The sequence below is a fragment of the Homo sapiens genome, chromosome 1 (assembly GCF_000001405.40).
Source record: "Homo sapiens chromosome 1, GRCh38.p14 Primary Assembly".
NCBI classification, from domain to species: Eukaryota; Metazoa; Chordata; class Mammalia; order Primates; family Hominidae; genus Homo; species Homo sapiens.
In genome coordinates, this window is record NC_000001.11 from 219,159,225 (window position 1) to 219,182,949 (window position 23,725).

General features: G+C 36.3%; 1 protein-coding gene and 1 long non-coding RNA gene across 30 annotated transcripts in view, besides 3 other annotated features; one reads left to right on the forward strand and one right to left on the reverse strand.

Annotated features, from left to right (window-relative positions):
• The window catches only part of LYPLAL1-DT (LYPLAL1 divergent transcript), a 92,816-nt gene extending 78,252 nt beyond the window's left edge, over nt 1-14,564 (reverse strand). Inside the window, exon 1 of the long non-coding RNA NR_038845.1 lies at nt 14,246-14,564. This is a non-coding gene — a long non-coding RNA (LYPLAL1 divergent transcript). The remainder of the gene's footprint in view (nt 1-14,245) is intronic.
• Nucleotides 14,485-14,534: an enhancer, noted in NCBI's record as "active region_2543". NCBI's record gives its function as "activates an Ori minimal core promoter by ATAC-STARR-seq in GM12878 lymphoblastoid cells {active_cell/tissue: GM12878}" and the evidence as "EXISTENCE:reporter gene assay evidence [ECO:0000049][PMID:35858748]".
• Nucleotides 14,615-14,944: an enhancer, noted in NCBI's record as "active region_2544". NCBI's record gives its function as "activates an Ori minimal core promoter by ATAC-STARR-seq in GM12878 lymphoblastoid cells {active_cell/tissue: GM12878}" and the evidence as "EXISTENCE:reporter gene assay evidence [ECO:0000049][PMID:35858748]".
• LYPLAL1 (lysophospholipase like 1) overlaps nt 14,654-23,725 on the forward strand; it is a 271,619-nt gene continuing 262,547 nt past the window's right edge. For 18 of the 29 annotated variants that reach the window (XR_007078562.1, XR_001736967.3, XR_007078564.1 and 15 more), the window contains exons 1-2: nt 14,654-14,757; nt 19,923-20,022. Coding sequence is in view for 10 of the 29 variants with exons in the window: in XM_047445134.1 (XP_047301090.1) it covers nt 14,667-14,757; nt 19,923-20,022 (191 nt within the window). In the remaining 19 variants the exon portion in view is untranslated. Of the gene's footprint in view, nt 15,081-15,736; nt 15,797-19,922; nt 20,023-20,175; nt 20,203-23,725 lie in introns of those variants that run through there. The other 11 variants (XR_007078557.1, XR_001736964.3, XR_007078558.1 and 8 more) reach the window with 3 other exon arrangements.
• Nucleotides 18,339-18,628: an enhancer, noted in NCBI's record as "active region_2545". NCBI's record gives its function as "activates an Ori minimal core promoter by ATAC-STARR-seq in GM12878 lymphoblastoid cells {active_cell/tissue: GM12878}" and the evidence as "EXISTENCE:reporter gene assay evidence [ECO:0000049][PMID:35858748]".

The following is a 23,725-nucleotide window of genomic DNA, read 5'->3' on the forward strand; positions in this document are numbered from 1 at the left end:
CAAAAGTTATCTGAGTGTGGTGGCACATGCCTGTAGTCCCAGCTACTCAGGAGGCTAAGGCAAGAGAATCGCTTGAACCTGGGGGGTGGAGGTTGCAGTGAGACATTGCACTCCAGCCTAGGCAAAAAAGCAAGACTCTGTCTCAAAAGAAAAAAAAAAAGAAAGAAAAAGAAAAAGATTACTAATGAGTGTCTTCTTATAGCCTCTCATTCACTCTTATTGTTATTTCTATGTGCCACAGCTAGCCTGTTACGTATATGAACATGTCACTCCTATGTTAAAAAAAAAAATAGAAAAAAGGCCTCTGATCTGAGTTTCTAAATCTTAGCCTGTCTTTTGTCTTCCTAAGTAAAAGTGTGGGCTACATATTAACGCTGGTCAAGAAGTCCAATGTATAACTTTTGCCCATGTGGATTTTATTTGAGTGATGGTACCTATTTTCTTCTATTGTTCAAACTACTGGGTGCTGTCTGTGAAACCACTTTATCCTCTTTCCAGATGCAGTTCTTTGTACTCAAAATGAGTCTTTCTCTGTAAATGGCTATATACCAGCCTCATTTTCCAGCTGCTGCTCTTTCCTTGTATCTCACAACCATGGCAAAAAGATAGAATTTGGGCATCAGTGAGTTCTCTTTAAGATGTCTCACTTATTTCTAAAGAATAATCCTTACACTTGGCATAAAAATTAGTGTTGCTACTTTTTAAAATGCCTGCTGAAATGTCCAATGTCCTAGTCTTCTATCTGGAATAAGATTATGATTACAGAGATTAAAAAAGCTCATTGAATTGAAGACAGCCCTGGAATTTCAAGATTATTTTAGAAGACATGCAATTGCTACTTTGCATTTTACATGTGCAAACAAAGCCATCAAGCCAATTAAGGCTGCTTTCAGTTCATTCTGATAGTACAGGAAGGTATTTATGTACTGTCAGTGCCAGCCTGGGCAGCGTGCAAGTCTTGACTCATAGATCTCCCCTCCCGCCCTGGCTGGAAAGATATCTGTGCATCTCTTTCAAGCTTGTTTAGGGTGTGTAAAGGCTCTTTCTTCGTCCACTCTACTTTCAATATAAAGTATTACTTAGAAGAAAGCTAAAAACCTGATTTTGTGTTGATAGTTAAGCCTTTCACACAACATAAATATAAGGAGTTTGATCAAGTTTACTTGTACTGTCTCACTCAAGATGTAGTTTTTAAAATGTTTTTAAAAATCTCCGCCTTGTTTGTCACATGTTAGAGTGTGTGTGAGAGCAGCAAAGAAGAAGCCAAGGATTAAGTTTGTCTTAAAACTTTTAGCTTGTAGTCAATCATTTCACTTTAATGTGCCACATCATGCTACAATAATTGTTTTAACCCATTTTCTGGTGACCATACCAAACCTTCAGTGAAATCAATTTAATTTTGTCATTTTGAAATTGCTCTCCAGAAAACAAGAGATATAAAGTTTTAAAGCAATTATACAAATAATTATGTCAAAATCCAACTGTTTAAGTGGAGTTTGAGCTTGTATTTTTCTCTAATGGCTCACATATTTGAATATATTTTTCTTGCAAGACACTCAGCTGTACATTTTGCAGGATATAAAAGTGCTTCGATTAAATGGGTCAATCAATTAATTAATAATTAATAACTTCCTACTTCACTCTTCTTCTAAATACAGAGCTGCTAATATTGCTTTAGGGGAGCCAAACACAATATACTGATAATTATTCCCATAGCTATTATTTCATATTATAGAGGTTTTGTAATACAACATCACAAAATTACAATGTCCTTTTTAAAAATCCCTTCCCCCACTCAAAAGAAAGCTATAAATTTAAGCCAATATAAACTTTTCAGAATTCTCTCTCTCAATGTCACACCAGGGCGTGGTGCTACACAGCTGGGGAGCTGAGCTAATAAGTGCTGAAAAATGAAAAATGCTGCTTTATGGCATCACATTAACTGGCAAAAAGAATACTTTTACCTCCGCCCATTTTTGACAAACAAATGCCAGAATGTAGATGCTGTAACAATGAGACTTTATGATAGTTGGCCCATGGGGCAAACAGATTTGTCTTGTGGGATTTTCTTTTTGTTGAATACTACATGTAATAAGAAGTGGCACAACATTTGTAAAATCTAATCACTTCTGGTTCCTTTTTGAACCTCAAAGGGGTTATTTCTAGAAAAGCTGTTGGAAACACTACATAATGATCTATTTATGCAGTAGTGAAACAGGATTATCCCTTTTACAAGGAGATAGCTTTCCCTAACAATGTAAATACTGTAATATGAGTGTACAACTTCAGGATTTTGAGGAACATCATGTCCAACAAATATTTATTGAATAACTACAATAGAGTTCAAGGAATGATGCTAAGAGTTCTTGTGAAATTTACACCACATAATATAGTCAGGGCCCAGCTGTTTTTCTTGGGCTGGTTTGTTTCCCAGCTGATGGTCATTCACCCACTCATTCACCCTCTCACTCAATCACTCACTAGTCACTCATTCAACATTCAATCAGTACATGTCTATTGCGAGTTTACTATATCCAAGTCACACAGGCCTAATAAATCACAGAGAACGTGCTATTTTAGCAAAAGATCCCAAATCAACTGTGGAAGAAAAAAAAAAAACTCTTTACACAGGGGCTTGAAATAAATGAGCTGCGGCCAGAACAAGGTAAGCAAGAAAAGAGAGGCACAAGGGTGCATTGGTAGGGTACATTCCTTTCCCGTAGGGAAATACTAAACTTCGGTCAAACGAGAGGACATAGAGTAGCTCTAAGTCCTACCTGAAGGCTCCTAGGTGCTGTTGACTCAAGTGGTTGGGAATTTCTGATTAGAGTATTTAGAGAACTGCAATTGTCTGTTCTATAGATGCCTTCCTTGAATTTACATAGCTAGAAATATATTCTCTCCTCTGAACTTGTAAAAAAAATTGCTATGGCCTTATTACAGCAGTTATTGTTAGTTACCTTATATTATAGGTGTACATCTCATATCTCCTTACTAAATGTAAACTCCTTAAAGGTAGAACTAAAATATGATTTATCTCTCATTTTGCACAGTACATTACAATTATGAACATTCTATACTATTTCGTTGGATAAAGTTTTCAATGAATTCAACCAATATATGATCAAAATACTCATAGCATCTGAATAACACATTGTAGTAATAAATAATTACAAAAAATATAAATATTAGTTTAGAAGCCCAAAAAGCATAACTAACATTTAAGAGAAGTACAATTTTGGTAGTCTAAATCATGTGCAGATTAGTAAATAATGGAACCAAATAAGGAAATTCTGGTTGTACCTTTTAAAATGTGGAATTAAATGAAGAAGCCACTGAAAAGTGACCTTTTTCAAATTCCCAAAAAGTATGTGAGTGTATTGAGTGTATTTTAAAGGCCACAATAAAAGAATGCAGTTACATAAGCTGTGTGATATTACCATTTTTATGTTCCATAATTCAATAAAATGTACCACTGGAGTATTTTCCCTCACAAACAAATGCAAATTCTGCAAATAGCAGATGATTTCCAGGAACAAATTCATTCCCATTATCGTTACTATTCTTTTGTGTGTGTGTCTGTGTGTATGATGGAGTTTCGCTCTTGTTGCCCAGGCTGGAGTGCAATGACACAACCTCGGCTCACTGCAACTTCCGCCTCCTGGGTTCAAGCGGTTCTCCTGCCTCAGCCTCCCAAGTAGCTAGGATTAGAGGCGGCCGCCACCATGTTCAGCTAATTTTTTTTTTGTATTTGTGATAGAGATGGGGTTTCACCATGTTGGCCAGGCTGGTCTCGAACCCCTGACCTCAGGTGATCCACCTGCCTCGCCTCCCAAAGTGCTGGGTTTACAGGCATGAGCCACTGCGCCCAGCCTGTTACTACACTTAGTGTTACCAATGTTAAATATCATGGAAATGGAAAAACAACCATTTTGGTTAGTTGCAGTAGTTTCTAACAAGTTTTTTAAGAGTACAGACTTATCAATTACCTTCTGTAACAGTGCTCAAGGTAGCAGGCAATCTACCAGTGCTATTAACATTTTAATAAACTTGATCAATTTTGATGAAAAGTTTCTATTACTGATCCTCAGGTAATCATCCATCCTGAGATAATAAATACTAAATTTTCGGTATCTAGTTGAACTTTGAGGATGACTAACACTGTGAAGATAAGCTTGCCTCATTTCCACATAATCTCTGGGAAACTAACTGATTCCTGATTTTGCTCTGGAAGGGAGATTATTAAAAACTTTTTAAGACTCTCCTGCTCACATTGGCAAGTGGTGAATACTGGACAGTTTTGCATTAGAATGAGACATCTGGGTATGTGAGTTATTGCTGATTTTGTATCCCTTACAACGAGATTTTAATCCACTTGAATTCAAATTATGTTGATCACAATACAACTTCACTGGTCTAGGCACAAAACACCCTAAAGGCTTTAATGAGTTTAAGTGGATGAACTGCAAACAGCAAGATCCTGACAAACTCTTATAGATGCAGTAAGTACTTCTTCAAACAACGTGGGAGGCTGGCAAGAAACATCAGCAGAACAGCTAGGAACATAGTAATGTGGAACGTGGTGACGTCTTTTGAGAAAAGGATTTAGCCAATCACTGGTCAATAAAGACAATAATTAAAAACACATACAGCTTCTGAGAACAAGAACCATAGCAAATTAAAGTTCTGCCTTCAAAGAGCTTCATTTTAAGTTACAGATCCCAAAACAATTGCCATAATTAGCATAAGCTTTGTATGTAAAGAAAAACCTTTACTTTTTTTCTAACTTGTGACGTAGGCCACTATTTAAACAAAAAAAAAAACTGATTCTCTACAAGATTTGTGTCTTTTTTTTTTGAGCTCATATGTACCTTTTAAATGCCATAGAATCTACAGGAATAGCCATAGAGACAAAATGAAAATGTCATTATTAAACTAGATTTAAACAAATTGCTAGAGAAGCTTCTTAGATTGATACTATTGAAAATGCCTTGGAGATCTGTGGAACACAGTTAAATGATTGCTATTCAGTATAAAGAGTATGGCTGAACTTTTTATATTACACTCTGTATTTTTTTTCATACTCAGAAATGAACAAGTCTGGTTAATAATGTTATGAGAGAAACTTGGTGCTTTACACAAAGCACAAATTGTAGAAAAAAATGCATGCACCTTGTGTTTATGGCTAGGGCCATGGGTCAAAATGAAAATCATGTCCTGTTTGAACTGAAATAATCAAGAAATTTCATTTGCAGTGCATTTTTACGTTTTCTGGAAGTTTGTTTTAAGACAAAGAACGTATTTATTGACAGTTCAATCTTTTTACTGGCGTAATGGATGACGTAAAGACAATGATGGGATTTGAGTCCTTGTGTGTCAAAAGAGACATAAAACTCGCCTTCTTTACTTCCATTCTGGTATGTTTCCTCTGAATAAGCAACAAATCCGTGGTAATTATTACCTTGAGTGACTTCCAGATGTTAACCATGCCATGTGACCAAACTCAACTATTCTCTAACAAGCATGGCAAGAGAGGGAAATTGTTAGTATATATGATGATTTCAATAACCATGAAAAATACCTTTTTTGTCTATCACATCCATCTGCATGATGTAAAAACCCTACATAAATAGGATACCTTTTTGAGAAGAAGAGGAAGACTTAAATCTGTGTAACATAGGTGAACTTTCCCTTTAAAAAAAAAAAGAATAGCTAAATTAATGAAAGCTGAATGTAATTTATTATCTAATCCTTTAAATGTTTTTAGATTTTAAATTATATGCCTACGCTCTATAGAAAGGGAGATAAATTATTATGGTTTATGTTAATTTATGACAAGTCCTTTCGATGTTTCCCATTTTCTAGGTAAAAATATGCTGTTAAATTGTTTTCAGCCAAACACTGATGCACTTTACATTTTCTATTAAGAAAAATAAATAATTCACACTTTTGCAAGGGAAGGTATGCACTTTTTCTGGCATTCTTGAAATTATACTATTACTAGCAGCAAGTGCCAGCAGACTTCATGGGTGGTATTTCTTACTGAAAAGCAAGACATGAATTAATATTTTTATTACAGTCAACTCACTTGTCTTCATAAATAAAATATTATTAATGTTTTTCCATTTTGATTTTAATGCTAGCAAGAAGAATATACAAATTGTTAGAAAAGGGAAATAAAATACCTGGATAAATAGTTTTTCAAAGACTGTCATTGGTACATATTAAAGCAACAGTTGAGATTGTCAGTTAAGGTTCCAAACACCGATGTGTACCGTGTTTTTTTAAATCTAAATTATTGAGTAAATTGCTTGTCTTTTATATTTTTCCTATTGAAACAGATGTGGTTAATATAATCTGTGAATGTCCTTTGTGTATTATGCATTCTATAATGACCATGTGAGCATAAATTAATAAGTAATATGAGAAAAAAATAAGCAAAAATTCTTTCTACAAACACACACACACACACACACACACACACACACACACACACACACACACACCCCTGCATCCTATTTTTAAGTGAGAGAATGATGAAGGACTTAGCACAGAGCCAACACTAAAGGGAAGCTCTTTATTTTTGTTGATATTATTGTTTCTCAGGCCCACAATGTTGGTATAAAGAGGGAAAGGCAGAAAAGTAAACAGTCAAATGTGCAAATGGCTATGTTCGTGGTAGCTGAGCTTGCTAAAAGCCTGTAGAAGAGGACTGATCAAAGGAAGAAACAGCAGACCTGAGTTTTGAAGAATGAGTAGGCAGTTGAAGAAGTAAATAGAGGAGGGCTACAAGCCTGGCTGAGATTAGAATGGGCAAAGCTGAAGGGACAGGAGGTGGCACAGCACATTTTTAACACTCTTGGTGTTCAACATGGTAAAAAGAGTAGAATATAAGACCGGATGTCTCCAGATATAAAATGGGGAACATAAGTAGAGGTGTGTTCCTAAAGAGCTTTAGGAAAACTGGTATCAATCCTTCTAATAGATGCACTATAAAAGCATCTTTTTAAAAAGACAACTCTGTGAAGAATGCTTTTATAGACACTGAGGAATGAAAATGAAAAAAAAATCCAGTTTGCCTGCAAGAAGGTCACAGAAACAGACACTCATTGAGATATAAGTTATACGTACTCTATCTTGTAAATTTAGACTTTGGGATATAAATTATACTTTCTTAAAATGAGGCATTCCTATCAAAATGACATTATTTGCTTTTATTTCCATGCTTAGATTTGCATAATTAACCTAAAGAATAGTATTTTCTAAATAGGATTACTACACCTTATGGGTGTACAAGACAGTTGTTTGGGCATGTGGAAAGAAAACATAAGAATTTGTTTATATTTTACTTTTCTTCCCTGTTTTACATTTCTACTTTTTTCTATGTTCAGTATGCACATAATGCATTACTACAATAGTGCATTCATATAATTTATAAATTAAAAATACACATTTATAAGAGATGTTCTAAAAACTTTTTACTGATAGGTATATATAATAGACAAATTTCTGAGACAACCACCATAAAAGTTAATTATTTTTACTATATCAACTAAACTGGACAGTTGTAGCTTGCACCAGGTAAATAGTACTGCTTTGATTTAGTTGAGGACATAAAGCACAGGACCTCTCATAAGCTTTGCCTTGTTGGGAATTGGAACGGACCTGTGGCCATTAATTTTATGTGTTTCTGCCCTCAAAAGCATAAAAGTATGAGGCAGGTGAGTCACACTCTGAGATCCACCAATTTCAAGGGGTCTACTCATTAGCTTTGGTGGGTTCACAAACCCTCTAACGGGCATTCAGAGTACTGTGTGTGTGTGTGTGTGTGTGTGTGTGTGTTGTATATTGGTTTCCCTTTCACTTGAGAGAGTCTGTAACTTTAAGCTAAATCTTAAATGAGACTATAAATACCCCCGCCATTGTCACCATCAATTTAATTGCCTTGCCATAGTACAGAGTCTCTTCTTCATTGGCTGACTGACCTCAGTACTCCAATCACACATGCCGCACTTTAAGCTACCAGCCTTCCTGTATCATGGCTCTTTTGTTTCCTTGTCTTTTATGACCTAGTTATTTCTTGCTCATGGTCATGTTCTAGCTTTGCTTGGTTCTCACTACAAGATTTGACATTGGGCTTTGTAATTTTCAAAAATTTTGCTTCCCACACTAAGCTGAAAACCAGGCCTAATATTGTGATCCTGACCCTGGCCTTGGCTGGTTTTCTCCAAGAGGTGGCCTGTCACCTGTGTACCTCTGGTTACTGCTTACATGCCAGAGTAACAAGTAGATGCCAGAGGAGTGTAGCGCTTTCCTCTCTGTTCATCCTTCCTGTTCAAAATATAACTCAATTAAAAGCATAATTTAACTCCAACAAGTAATATCTGAGACACTGTTCTAGGTATTTCAGGAGGATACAAAGAAATAAAACAGTTCTTGCTATTAAGGCAACTACAATTTAGTAGTTCACAGGACTAGCCATGCAGGAAAAGTACTTAAACCTAGGTTTTCGTACCTCAAATCCATCGCACCTTCTACCACAGCTCAATGACAATTTTGTTTATAATTATTTTGAAATTGTGTATGTGTTTTCAGGTTTGCAAGAGTGTCTAATAAAGATATTTGTTTTCACTTATATTATTTTATTTTGTTAACCCCTGTGAAGGAAAACTAAATAAATGCATATGAATGAAAATATATAATGAATGACAAACTAACATTTTGAATAATCACTGCTTTAAACTTCTCTTGTCACTTGCATCCTTTTTCTATTGTGATAAAAAGCACATAATGTAAAATGATCTTAACCATTTTTAAGTGTACAGTTCAGTAGTGTTAAGTATATTCACATTGTTATGAAACAAATCTCCTGAACTTTGTCATCTTGCAAATCTGAAAATTTATATCCATTAAACTACTAATCCCCTTTTCCTCCTCTCTCCGGCTCCTGGTAACCACCATTATACTTTTTTTTCTATGAATTTGACTACTTCAGATATTTCATATAAGGGAAAGCATACAGTATTCATCTTTTTGTGACTGCTTTATTCAACTTAACATAATGTCCTCAAGATTCATCCATGTTGTAGCATGTGACAGGATGTTTTTCCTTTTTAAGGCTGAATAATATTCCATTACATGTATATATAATATTTTATTTATCCATTTATCTGTTGATGGACATTTGGGTTGCGTCCATCTCTTGGTTGTTGTGAATAGCACAGCTATGAGCATGAGTGTACAAGTACATCTTTGAGCCCCTGCTTTCAATACTTTTCGGTATATACACCTGCATCCATTTTTAACCTACACAAAGAATATCTGCTCTTGAAGACTGACACTTTGCCATCAATCTATAAGAAAGTAAATTCTTTGGAAATATGATAAGACAAAATAATTGTATTAATTTGCCTTTCAAATATAAACTAAGGTAGATTTTTCAAAGCGTCTCGATTTTCTTCATATATAGTTATAATAAAAGAAAATCCATTGTCATACCTTGATGCCAATTATACATATATAGAAAATATTCATAAATATATATACACAGAGAAATATGCACATACACAGACACAACCTGAAAATAGTCTACTTCAGAATAAAGTGCACTTCCATTTTTCAAATTGCAAAAATTGACTTTATATTTTCTAATTATCTTTTTTTAAAGGTCTTTTTAAATTTTTTTTCCTGGCTTTTAAAAGTAATCACAGAAAGAGTAGGAAGAGATTAAGGCTGCTAAACTCAGCCATACAAGGAGGAAGGAGAATCACATGTGCTGATCTTTCTCATACTACTAACTAAAAGTTTATGTAGTGCAATTAAGAGTTTTGAACCATTATTTTATAAGTAGAGTTAAACATCAGAGGTATATTCATAAATGAGTGGCACATGTCACATATTTAAATTCTTTCAGGATCTCAGAATGACAGAACCTGGGGCTTCTCCATCAAGTCCTGCTCCCTTATTTCACAATTGGAGAAACGTGTCCAATGAGACTAAATGGCCTGTCTAATTTACATAGCTTGTCATCCCCGAGGCTGGAACAGGAACTCCTATCATTTCATTACTTCAACATTTTTTATATCTACCTATCTAATCTTCTCTTAAATGAATGTAGCAAAATACAGTAGATATTCTGACTGCATTCATAAGGAAATTACTCTTTTGGCTTTTATTTCTTTTCTTTGTAATAGACGTATGCAATGCAATGACTTCCCCTCATCTCATGGTAGGATTTGAACTTCCCTGCCCTCAAGGGCCCAAAACCTGATTAGGGGTTGCTGTTGATTCTTGCCCTGGATTTCAAAAGCCTGAAAATTTGTTATAGAAGAAAAAAGTAATAGGTTCTAGAGTACAGAGACAAATATGAAGATTGCAGGAGGGATTCCTCAGACTCATATAAGCACTGAGTGGAAGTTGAATAAGAAGTGTTTCCAGAGGGTAACTTAGGAATTTGAGAACTGGCCATAAGAGGTGTCCAAATGGAAGAAGACCCATTTCCCAGAAAAGAGGAGACAAATGGCAATGCAAAGAACATTGTTCTGGTGTCCAAGCATAAACACTGACCCTGTAGCCTGCACCCAAGGGAGGAAAGTTCACTGTCCTCCTCTAGGGCCTACATACTGCTTTGGTGTGTATCATGTTGACTGTTAATAATCCAGCAGAGTAATCACTATCCATTCTCCAAGGCTGCGTTTGGTCTGTGTTTGAGGAGCTCATGTATTCCCCTACCCCTACTGCCAATGCCATCTCAGTCCATCTCACAATGCCCCACGTGACCCATCTGCTCTAAAAAGAGAATGAGACCATGCACATCTAGTAGTAAGGTAAAGTAGAGGAATGACCCATATCTGTATCTGGAAAGACTGGACTGAAAAAGATTAAGGTCCCCAGAACTGAGGCAATGATTATGTTAAAGTTTATAATCTCATTTATAAAAAGTATAGTTTTGCTGTTTTGTAAGAATTCAGGACCTTTAAGTTTGTTTCTAGTTTTTCTTTCATGAATGGACAGGGGGAATGCATAAAAGAAATCATTTTATTTATCTATGACAAAATGTTAAATTACCTAAAGCTGAAGCTGAAGCATTTTGTGCAATGTGTATATATTGTTTATATATATATGTGTGTGTGTGTGTGTGTGTGTGTGTGTGTGTGTGTTTCTCTCTCTCTGAATGATGCAACAGATGAAAACTAACCAATAGAGAGGATATGGTTTGATGCTTAAGAATGAGCCAAACAACAAACGGGAAACTGTGTACTGTCTGCGTGACAAATGCAACTTCATTTAACTGTTATCATTTGAAAATACCAAGTATACTAATCTTGTTCATTGTTTTTGTTTCTTTTTTGAGACAGAGTCTTGCTCTGTCACCCAGGCTGGAGTTCAGTGGTGAGATCTTGGCTCACTGCAACCTCTGCCTCGGGGTTCAATCAATTATTGTGTCTCAGCCACCGGAGTAGCTGGGATTACAGGCATGCGCCATGATGCTCGGCTAAGTTTTTTTGTATTTTTAGTACAGATGGGGTTTCGCCATGTTGGCCAGGCTGGTCTTAAACTCCTGGCCTGAAGTGAACCGCCTGCCTTGGCCTCCCAAAGTGCTGGGATTACAGTAAGCCACTGCACCCAGGCAAAATATACTAATCTTAATGGCTGAACTTTCAATTGCTTTTCTGTTTTGAAAACTAAGTGTGGCCTAAAGCATTTCTCAACACACTGAAGAACAGTAAACTAAACTCCGACTTTGCCATTTATATCGTTAGATCCTAATTGATATTGAAACCCTGCAAAACAGGAGAACTTTTTCTTTTTCTTTTATTTTGTTTACTTGCTTTTTTAAGTTTAGAACTGAAGTTACCAAAAGGAGGTGCATATAGATTGGCAGAAAGCAAATGAGTAGCAACAAAAAATAATTAGGAGCTATATAAAGAGTAAAAGAATGTATGAATAGGAATCTTCCAGTGATAATATTCCCCCACCTTCAATAGGGCAAAAGATCCACCACAAAAGCAAATAGTCATCTTGAAACTTAATTACATTTCAAAGTAGTACAGTAACATGAAAGGAACAAAACATTTTTGTTCAACAGTTTGCCTACCAGATGGGATCTCTAAATATAGGTAATCTAAAACCTTTGCTTGTCCTATAAACAAATACAGATGAAAGGAATAGCAACAATAGCTAAGCATTTAAATCACTGGAAATAAAATAGCACTTTGGTTAAGTGTGGAAGAATCTGGCTCATTCTAATAATGAATCTGGGAAGGCTGGAGTTCTCAGTGAAATTCAGAATACAGAAGGTTGCTTCTGGTATTTACCACCTGCTTATCTACCTGTTTAAACTGGTAGAATAGTTGGAAGAACAAATCAGGAACTAATAGCAGTAGACTTGGGAAAAACTAAAGAAGCACAGGAACACCTAATAAATAGAGACTCTAAAGGGCCACAATACAAATTCCAGACTTTTGTTTTTGAAATAAGAGTTGCGACATGCCCTTGCTTCATTTCTGTGCACTCATGTGTAAATGTGGGTAATAGTTAAGAACCTATGCTCTGGAGTCAAGCCCAGCATGTGAATCCAGGTTCTACAATTGACTGGCACTATGACTTTGAGCCAGGTTCCTTACCTCTTTGAGCCTCATTGACAAAAGCAGATAGTAATAGTACTGAGTTTTATTGGAATTAATTTATGACAGTTTTTGGCACCTACTGAATCCCATGAATATTAGTTGCTTATTATTATTAATAATCATTACTCTTAAATAATTATATTCTGATTTTTTGCTGTCTCAAAAGCGTGGGGTGGTGTACAGTAAGATTTTCAGGTAGTAAATGGAGTTCTAAGAGTAGAACTTAAAGCCTTCCCTGTATATCTCCAAGTGGTCTTTCCTAGTAGCACTGCCCTCTTCTCACCTGGCTAGGGAAGGTTATCTAGAACTCATACGGGGAAGGCAGGTCAAAAGACAGAGGTTTTTCTTTTAAGAATTGGCTATCAGAGCTCAGCCTACCCTAGTTTGTCCTCCTCAGGGACTTCACTTATACAACTCTCTGCTGCAGATCTATGGGCTTTGGAGAAATGACTCAGAATTTCTTTTTGATTTGGTTAACTAATGGCATGTAGGACCATTCTTGTTGATGGTATTGTTATTAATATAACACCATGATAGCTTAGAGCTGATTTTGGCAACTAATGTTGATAGTAAACAGTTTACTTACCTGTAAGTAGGGTGATTACCTGGAACAAATAAAAGGTAAGTTGTAATTGCTAAAATGTAATGCAGACTACAATGAATGGAAGGCCAGTGTTTAATGGTACTTAAGCTTTTACTGGGTTATTTTGTTGAATTTTACATGAGGCAAGAGCAACCTGCTGGGGCCACTGCCTTCAGTATTAAAAGATACCTATGTTTTGGACTTTATACAGGAAATAATTCCATTTCTTAGTATTTTTAAAATTATGGTAAAATACACATAAAATTTACTAGGTGTATAGTTCACTGGCAGTTATTAACACTGTTGTACAACCATCATCACTGTCCATTTTTAAAAATGTTTCACTATCTAAGCAGAAACTCTTGTACTCATTAAACAACAACCTCCCAACTCCCTCTTCCCTTAGTCCCTGGTAACCTCTAATTTCACTTTCTGTCCCTATGCATTTGCCAATTCTAGATATCTCATGTAAGTGGAATCATACAATTATTTGTCCTTTTGTGTCTGGCTTCACTCGGCATAATGTTTTCAAGGTTCATCCATGTTGTAGCATGTATCCGAATCACATTCTTTTTACAGGCTGAATAATATTCCATTCCAATATGTACATAGCACATTTGGTTTATCTCTCCATCTGTAGATGAACATTTGAGTTGTTTCCACTTTTTGGTACTTGTGAATAATGCTGCTACAGAACACTGAAGTACAAGTATTTGTTTGAGTCCCTGCTTTCATCTCTTTTGGGTATATACCTAGAAGTGGAACTGCTAGTACCTATGCTAAGTCAATGTTTAACTTGTTGAGGAGCCACCAAATTATTTCTATTGCCGCAACATCATTTTACATTCTGATCAGCTATGCACAAGGTTTCTAATTTCTACACATCTTTACTAATACTTATTTTCTGTTTTTTTGATAAGAGCCATTCTAATGGGTATATAAAGCAGAATCTCATTAAATTAGATTTGCTTTGTAAACTATTTATTAAAAATAAGAGACACGAAGAGAACTTATTATTATATGCTTCGCTTACCCTGTATATCAAGAGCTGCAAACATCCTGTGCGAGTCCCAAAGTGAAAGGTAAAATATGGTTCTATTAAATTTTAAACATAGTAACACGAATATTTCTCCAAATAAGGTAATCTTGAGTTTTGGGATTGCATTTAAAATTCCTACAGCAAATGCTCAGGATATAAACATATCCATTAGTCATTACAGAAGTCCACACGAGGCTGACACACGTAGAATACCATTATTAGCAAAACTAAACTCAGTACAGTTACAACTGCCTCAAACTTGACCCCAAAGTATTGAAAGCTCCTCAGAGAGCGGGCCAGCAGCGCTGCGCATGCGCGCTCCCGGGCGTGCTCCCGCGCGTGCCTGCGTATTTGCGTGCGCGGCCCCGCGCGGCAACGCAGGGGCGGAACCGCATGACTGGCAGTGGCATCAGCGATGGCGGCTGCGTCGGGGTCGGTTCTGCAGCGCTGTATCGTGTCGCCGGCAGGGAGGCATAGCGCCTCTCTGATCTTCCTGCATGGCTCAGGTGGATTTCAATTTTACGTCCTGGTTTTCTACAGCTCGGGAAACATCCTCCCCTCGGTTACCCCAGTATTGCCCAAGTGGAGGTGTCGCCGGGCCCAAATAGGGCCCAGTGGGTGGCTCCCCCGTCGCCAGCCCCGGCTGTAGATGCACGGGCAGCGCCACCTGCCCCCAGCCTCCCCCGTTAGTCTTCCTCTTTCTATCGGGCGGTCACTGGTCCACCACCCTCGCTTTGGGGCCTTGTGTCCCGCCGCTCAGCCAGCCCTCCATCCCCACAACACACCTCCCCATTCCTCGCCCCAAGTTTAAACAGAGCAAGTTAGTAAGGTAAGTCTTCTGCTAGAGGGAAATTATTTAGTGTTTTTCATTATCAGCTACTAGTGATTTTTCAGTCGTAATTGCCCATTGCTTTTTCCAGGCTCCCATACTAATGTAGACAATTGAGATTCACAGTTAACTTAGATACTGTTTACAGATTATCTCTTTTCTGTAAGCCACTGTGCCATGGCTGGAGTGCTTTCTCTCACTTTCCTTTTTGCTGCTTCTCTTTCCTTCCTTTCCCTTTCCCGCCTGTGTCATTAAACTTCCAAGATAGACTACAGGGGCAGGACCCCCAGGGACAGGCATCTTCCACTACCTGCCCTTAGTAACGTGTGCTTAATGCTGTATCGTTACTTAACACTCATCTGTAATCACTTTTGTCTGTCTTCCCCACTGGATTGTGAACTTCCCACTGGATTATGAGAGTAAGGGCCCTTGTGTCAACCTTTGCACCCCCAGTGCTTGGCCCAGGGTAAGCTCTCAGGAAATGTTTTTTAAAGAAATGAGATGCAGCCGGTGTCCTCAGGGGGCCTACCTAAAGTTAAAAACAAAAACAATCCAATTAGTTTGAGTCAGCAGTGCATGGAAGATCACAAGACGGTGCATGGTTTCCTGCCAAGTGAATTGTAAGAGAAAAAAATGTGGTTAGGCATTATTAAGGCATTTGGAAGATGAAAAGCTTGTCAGACTTTTCGAAGAAAGTGGTCTTTGAGCCGAGACGGGTAGGCTTAAATGGGACGGTGATTGGAAGGGAATTGGAAAGGTACTGGGCAGAGACCTGGAAAAGGGCAATTGTGGGAGGTATTCTCTTTATTTTGAAAATGAGGCCAGACAGGTTCAGCAGCTTGGCCAAGGTCTCTTAGCTGTTACTGTGAGTAGTGGCGGATTTGGGATTAGAACCCAAAGCTCTCCGACCTCAAACTCAGGGCTTTGGTGGGGTAAGGTGAAAAAGTTTGAACTAGGATATATTGTTTTGGAGATAGGGAAGAAGAGGTCCAATAGTGTTTAAAGGGAAAGACGGCATATATTTAGAAGGTGACGTGTGTAAGATGACAGCGGTACTTAATAACTAGGAGACTGGTAGTACTATTTAGGGCTCCAAGAGTGTTCATTTATAAGTACCCAGAAATTCCCCAACACTGTACCCTTTCTCATAATCAATTCTCATTATCTTTAGGAAGAACTCCTAGACTATGTTCTTTTTTCCCCTGGACCTCTTTGCTTAAAATAATTATCCTTTTTTTGAATTTCAGATTACATTTTTATAACCTGTAAGGGTATGTCTCTAAAATTCAGAGTCATGTATGTATGTATTTTTTCCTTTGTACTTTGAACCAAGAATTTATTCAAAGAATTCTGCCAAGTATGCGAGTATAATGTGATTCCTATATATTTAAATCTCCACTGAAGTAAATAAAACCTTATTGGGAGTAGGTCTTTATCATCTTTATCGTTGGGAGTAGGTCTTTATCATCCAGTAGGTCTTTAGCAGCTAGTGATTTTACATTCAACTTTAATGTATGTGGTTATGTTATAGGAGATGTTTGGTTTCTGCTTAACTAGAATATGGGCAAACCAATTCTGTTTTATCACACTCAGTTTTGCCATACTGTTAACCAGTTTTAACACTTTTACTATGGAATAAAGTACTAGCTTTTTAAAAAGTGGACATTGGGAATGGATAGATGTTGTTTTGCAGCTGCATTCTTACTCTTCGAGGCTGAAAAAATGTTGTTAAAGACAGATTTTGTGTTTTCAAATAAAAAACCTTAAAAGCTTGAGATTTTCTTCTAGGAGATAGCAGCCATAGAAGAACATATGGGAGTGTAAATTATATGTAGCCAACTTAATTTGAGCCTTTTCTATTAATAAAGTACTAAAGACGGACCTTCTTTTAAGATGATAAAAATAAATGATAGGTTAATGAGTTTTGTTCAGTCTCTCAGATCAGATTAATTCACTCTTATTTGCTCCCATAGGACACTGGTTCTTCTTTCAGTGGTAGTCATCATACTTGTAATTATGTAATGTAATGTCTGTATTCCACACTAAGCTAGTAGGTCCACAAAGCCCAAACCATGTGTCTTGTTTATGGCTTTCTTCTTGTGTGGTAAGGCTCAGCAAGTTGACTGAGTAGCTTCTTGGTAAAGTCACCAGTAAGCTCAGGCTCTATGTCGCTCAATGTAATGGACATTTTCAGTCGTCCTCTTACGTGAACTGTCATCTGCATTCAGCTTTCTTCTCAAAAAACTCTCCTGGTTCTTTTTCTGTCTTGATTTGCTCCTTCTGGTTTCTTTTGCAGACTCATCCTCCTCTACCTGGCCATTAATGATGGGGTTTCTCTAAATTTGGTCCAAGGTCTTTTCACTCTACATTTTTCTCCCTAGGCTAATCACAGAAGTCTCCTAGAGATACCCATTTGTGTCACTGGTGTATAGGTAAAAATAGAACCTTTGAATTTCTGTGGAGATTCATAGATTCTATTTTTGAGCTCTAGACAAGTTCATCTAACTGCCTGATAGACATTCATTCATGAATCCATTCATTCAAGAAATATATCACAGCCTCCATGTGTAAGGCACTGTTCTGTGCTCTGATCATACAGCAATGAAAAAAACAAATCACTGCTCTCATGGAGCTTATGTTCTAATGAAGTAAATAAATACTATAGTAGAAGGTAGTAAGTTTTATGGAAACAAGGAAAGCAGGATAAGGGGATTCTTCCATGGATGAGAAGTTGGAACAGTGTTACAATTTTAAATAAAGTAGTCAGGTTATGCCTCACTGCAAAGATGACAGAAGATGAAACTTCACAGCTAGACTTAGACTTGGCTTTAAAGCCAAGTCGGAGGCTCCAGGGTAGGGTCCTTGACATGTTCAAGGAACAGCAGTAAGGCTAGTGTGTCTGGAGTGAGAAGAATAGGAAGGGATATCCAAGAGGGTACTGGCATCCAGGTAGTGTAGGGCAGGGGTTGGCAAACTTTCTGCAAAAAGTCAGGTAAGCATTTTAGCTTTTGTGGGCCATGTAAGGTCTCTTCCCCATAGTTTTCCCTTCTCTCTCTTTTTGAGAAAGGAGTCTTTAATAATGTAAAACTCATTCTTAGCTTATCCTCCTTAAGGACCCTAGGCTGGATTTTGTCCTCCCCTCTAGCTGTCCATAGTTGCTCAATCAACCCATGGTATAAGACCTTGTATGCATTACAAAGAGGCACCTCACACTCAACCTGTGTATGCCTGTTGCTTATGTTTCCTGTCTAGGCAGGTGTCTAGTATTGTTCACCCAGTTACTCCGGCCAAAAGCCTGTTAGTCATCCATGAGACCTTTTACTGTTGACCCTTTATAACAAATCCGTTGCCAATCTCTATTAATTTTACCACCTAAATTTCTCTAGTATCTGTTTCTATCTACATCATCGCTGTAGTCTAAGCATGAACAGTAGTTTCCTAACTGATCTCTGTACATCTACTTTTGCTCTCTTTCAATTCTGTCTTGACACAGCTTCCAGATTGATCCTTTAGAATCATGCCAACCTTTCTGTCAGAAATATTCATGACTTCTTCATGAACAGATTTGTCACGTTCCTACAGTTTCTCTGGTCTCATTTTATAGACACTGCTCTTTTCATTCTCTGCTTTTCAGTTCTTACATGTCATACTGCTCCCTCTTATCCAGAATCCTGGCACCTGCCCTTTCCTCGCCCTGGGATACTTTTTTCTTCTGCCCTGCACTTCTCACCATCCTGTAGACTTTAGTTCAAACCATTCAGCAACTATATTTGGATACCCAGTTTTTGTCAGTCCTGTTCTAGGCACTATGTGAACAAATAACTCAGATAAAATACATCATAAACTTCCTCTTGCAGAGTTTATAGGCTAGTGCATTTATTGTTGAACTCCATAAACCCAGTCAGTTGTGAATAAAATAAATATTTGCAACACCAAGTGTCTCATTTTTGAAGCAGGTACATTTGCCTTTCACATTTATTTGTGTGATTTTTTGACTAATTTCTGTTTTTCACAATATGCTACACACTCCATGAGAATAGGGACTCTATTCCTCCCTCACCCCACCATCATTGCCTCTCTAGCAGTGAACACAGTGCTTGACACATTAACAGGGATTCAATAGGCAGTTTTTGAACTGATACCTTAATGAGTTAATTGATTAAAAAATTAAAGTTGTGACCTTAATTTCCTCCTCAGGACTCCATAAGATGGACTTATATTTCCTTCCATTTTTTTCTGTAAATACATATACATTAATATTTATATGGCTTTTTATTACTTACCAGCTTTGGAGTAGATAATTCTTCTTTTAGGTCATGTAAACATGTTGTCAAAATTAAATTATGATTTTTTCAAGTTAAAATAAAATTACACTGAACACACATTTTGGACTTTTTTTAACCAAGAAAATTAGGTTCTTCTAACTACAGAAGTTTAACAGTCACTTTAGGAATTTATTACTATTAAGAATATGATAAGAAATGACTATTAAAAGTCACATATAAATACAGAAATAAAATTTTTTTTAGAAAAATCAATTTATTTATTTATTCCTGTACTACCCACTAAACAAATTAGGTAACTTAAAACTTAAGCTTAAACAAGATCTTCAGAGTAATCAATGGTGAAGCCAGGAGTAAAATAATCAAAATTATTGCTAGTTATTGAGACCTAGTTAGTTAATTCATATTAGTAAGTCAGTTTCTATATGGTTATTATGATGTATGGAGCTTTTTTAAATCCTTTATTCCATCCTCTGTGTGACATAAAAGTTTTAGACTGCTTTGAAATGCATTGTATTACTAAAATATTTATTTTAATCTAGATTTTTTGATTCATCAGGTGATTCTGGACAAGGATTAAGAATGTGGATCAAGCAGGTTTTAAATCAAGATTTAACATTCCAACACATAAAAATTATTTATCCAACAGCTCCTCCCAGGTATGCAGTAATTTATCTCACTTGTCAATATAACTCTGTGGCATAAAATATATATAGAGAGATGTGCCAGCTAGGTGTTCTTTAAGCTTAATTTTGTATTTAACATACTTTAAATTAGAGTACTTTGTCCCCAGAATGTATTCTTTATTGCAGTTACACTGTTGGACCAAGTTTTGCCAGGTGAGTAATTTATTCCCTTTCTGTAAAGCATTCCCTAAAGCTCTGAATTTAAACTGTGTCCCAAGCATGGCTTATGTAACTCTGCTTCCTCTTGCCCTGCAGATTGCTCAACTTTCATACTTCTTCCCTACATTCACCCCAAAAGGAAACTTAATAACTCCAACAAGTATAATCTTTCTAATAATTTAGTTAAGCCAGAATTCATAATCTCTGGGAAAGGGTTTTATGGCATTCTTTCCACATTTAAAAGGATTATCAAGAAACAATGTTATGCTTTTTTAATCAGTAAACCAGAATAGGAAGATAGAATTGACTACTTAATAAATATTTAGGTTATATAACCTGTAGGTGTGTGCAAAAAATTCACAGTAATAAAACTGCTATAGTTTTGAGGTCAAACTACTCTTTGTAAATATTAAATTAACATCTGCATAGTCTTTTATTCGGAACACATGCCGTAAATCAGGGATTGGGATTTTTTTTTGGTTAAGTGAAATGATGTGTGGAGCTACGCCCCAATCTGATTTTTCTCATAATCTGTTCTTGATTTTTTTTTGTTTCTTTTTCTTCTTCTTTTTTTATTTTTTCCAGACAGAGTCTCACTCTGTTGCCTAGGCTGGAGTGCAGTGGTGCAGTCTTGGCCCACAGCAGCCTTTGCCTCCCAAGTTCAAAGGATTCTCCTGCCTCAGCCTCCTGCCTAGCTGAGAATACAGGCATGTGACACCACGCCCAGCTAATTTTAAAGACAAGGTTTTGCCATGTTGGCTAGGCTGGTCTGGAACTGTTGACCTGAGGTGATCCACTCACCGCGGCCTCCCAAAAGTGCTGGAATTACAGGCATGAGGCACTGCACCTGGCCTGTTCTTGATTTTTTTCTTATCAGGCATACTATGCAAATGCCTTGCTTTATATTTTCATTAACTTAGTATTAAGGAGAAATAAAACCAGAACTTCAAGGACGTTTTTATATGTACTAATAAGAATTTACTTACTTTAATTGATAGAATTGAAAAAGGGAGAACAAAATGATAATGTAAGACTGAAGACTCAAAGGAGTTATTATTTAAATGTAATTTTAATAGAGTTTAAAAGTTTGGTAATCTAGTTAAAAGACCCAATCACCAGTGGTTATTTTTGTGCTATAAATTGCATGTCTTTGAAAATGTCAAAAAAGCTTCTTGTTACTGATTTTTAGGATAGTTGAAGTTGGAAGGAAGAAACATAGTGGTATTTCTGCAGGGATGAAAGATAAGTTCATTTCTACCTAAATATAAATACAATTGTCTGATTAATCATAAGACCACTGAAAACCTTATTCTAGGAATTAATATTTTTTATCTTAAGAATTTCATGTCATTACCAATTGTGATAGGAATTCTAGGCAGTATTTCTCAAACTTTAGGCCAGAGTTATTTCAGAAAATCCAAAAATCTCCATGTGCACTAAGCATTATTTGTGGGTGCTGTTGTGATTTAGTAAAATATGAAATCATTGGACCAGCTTCATGGTAACTTTTTGTTACACAGTTTTATAACCAATAGCTATTTGAACAGATCATCGAACGTTTTAGACCATACTCACCAATAGAAATGTAATATGAGCTACATATAAATTTAAATGTTCTTGATACCACATTATAAAAAGGAAGAAATACGTAAGATTGATTTTAATAATATATTTTATTTAACCCAGTATATTCAAAATATTCAACATGTAATCGGTATAAAATTATTAAAGTGATATTTTATATTTTTTACACTAAATTTTTGAAAATTGGCATGTTTTACATGTACGACACATCTTACTTCTGATGCTAAATAATTACACTGAAATTAAATAGTAGTAAAAATTAGGTTCCTCAAGTTGCCCTGGCTACATTTACGTGCTTCATAACCTTATGTGGTTAGGGGCTGCCATTTTCTACAGCTTAGTTTTAGAACTTAAAGAGGAGTTCCCATATACAGTAGATTGGGAGCCACTGTTCTAGATCAAGTCATCATTTTTACTTATTGGTTTGCTCAAGTTTTCACTTATTAGTAGCAAAACATAGAAGATTTCCAACACATTACTTTAAATATTAAATTATTTAATTGCAATAGAAAATGAAACTGGCATAAACAAATTTGAGAACAAACATAGTTGACTCTTAATAAGCATAAAAAGCATAAGGCTCAGTTTGTGGGAGCAAAAGTGTGAGGGTGTGCAAGAATGAAGCCTCTTGATCTGGACCATTTGGTCTTCCATGGGCGTTAGATATAGGAATACATGGCTTTGGTTAATACTATGAGGCAATTCAGTGGAGGTCAGTTAAGAGAGATGATATCATACTTAGTATATTATAATTAGCTGATTTTTTTCCTACCTTATGCTGGACTAATTTTCTAGAGCAGTTTATATGATACTTACTTCTGTATCCCTACAGACACTGAGGGATACTGTATCTCTAAGCACTTAGCATAGAACCTGACAAATAGATGTTTAGTGAAGATTGAATAAATATCTTGCAGTATTTGCTTGTTGTTGTTATTTAAAATAGTGTAATAGGAATGAGTAATTGTGGGTATTTATATATAATACTAATATTTTAATTGTGTAATAGTTTATGCCTATGTGAGGTTTTAAAAAGTGTATTTTGTTGTGGTAAATAACCTAAGAATTGTTGTTCATAAGGGGTTGCAATTACTTGTCCTAAGACTTGACCCTGCAATAGATTGAGTGAGCACCAGATTATGGGCCAGTTTTAACTAATGAGTCTCAAATTGAGGAGCACTGCGGTATCATTAAGCCTGTAGCTTTTAACTGGTTTCCAGACTTCAGAATGCTGTTTGATAGTATTTTATTAGAATGCTCTGGCATTCATGGTGTACTTTGCTGTTTTAAGACTTCTGACTGGTGTTCCTAACACATTACCCTGTTTAGGCAAGCAGTTTGGGCATAGATTTATTGTCGTTGCTTTTGTAGCATAATATGGCTTCATTTGCGGTTTTAAGGATAGTTGCTACCTTCCATCTATTATGGCAATGTTTCTTGTGCTGCTAATAAGAGAGATTCTGGTGTCATCTACCTTGCTTGCTACCTTTCCGGTGACGTCAAAAGGAGGCATGTGATAGATACGTGCCTTCCTTAACTCTCACTCTTTTTAATGTGATTGGTACAGGATAAAAATGAATTTTAATAACCTTTTTAAAAATTTATCAAGGTTTCATGCTTTAACATGTTGCTACATACTTTCTGATATTGTCCACATTTCTGGTATTTATTCTCTCTCCTGATTTTTTTCTTTCACCACTTGTAAACCCATAAGTTTTTCTGTACTATGGATATTTCATTGACTATGTTATTCCTATAAGGTATATTGAAGATATCACTTGGCTTGTAAAATCATTCCATTGATGGCATGTAAATGATATTCAGGGTTTACCTGCCTGTTAGTTGGCCAGTTTTGTCCTAGAATGTATCTAATCTCTTGTTACATGGAAGTGATGCTTACTATTATGTGGCTTTACCCAAGCCAGTATTTATA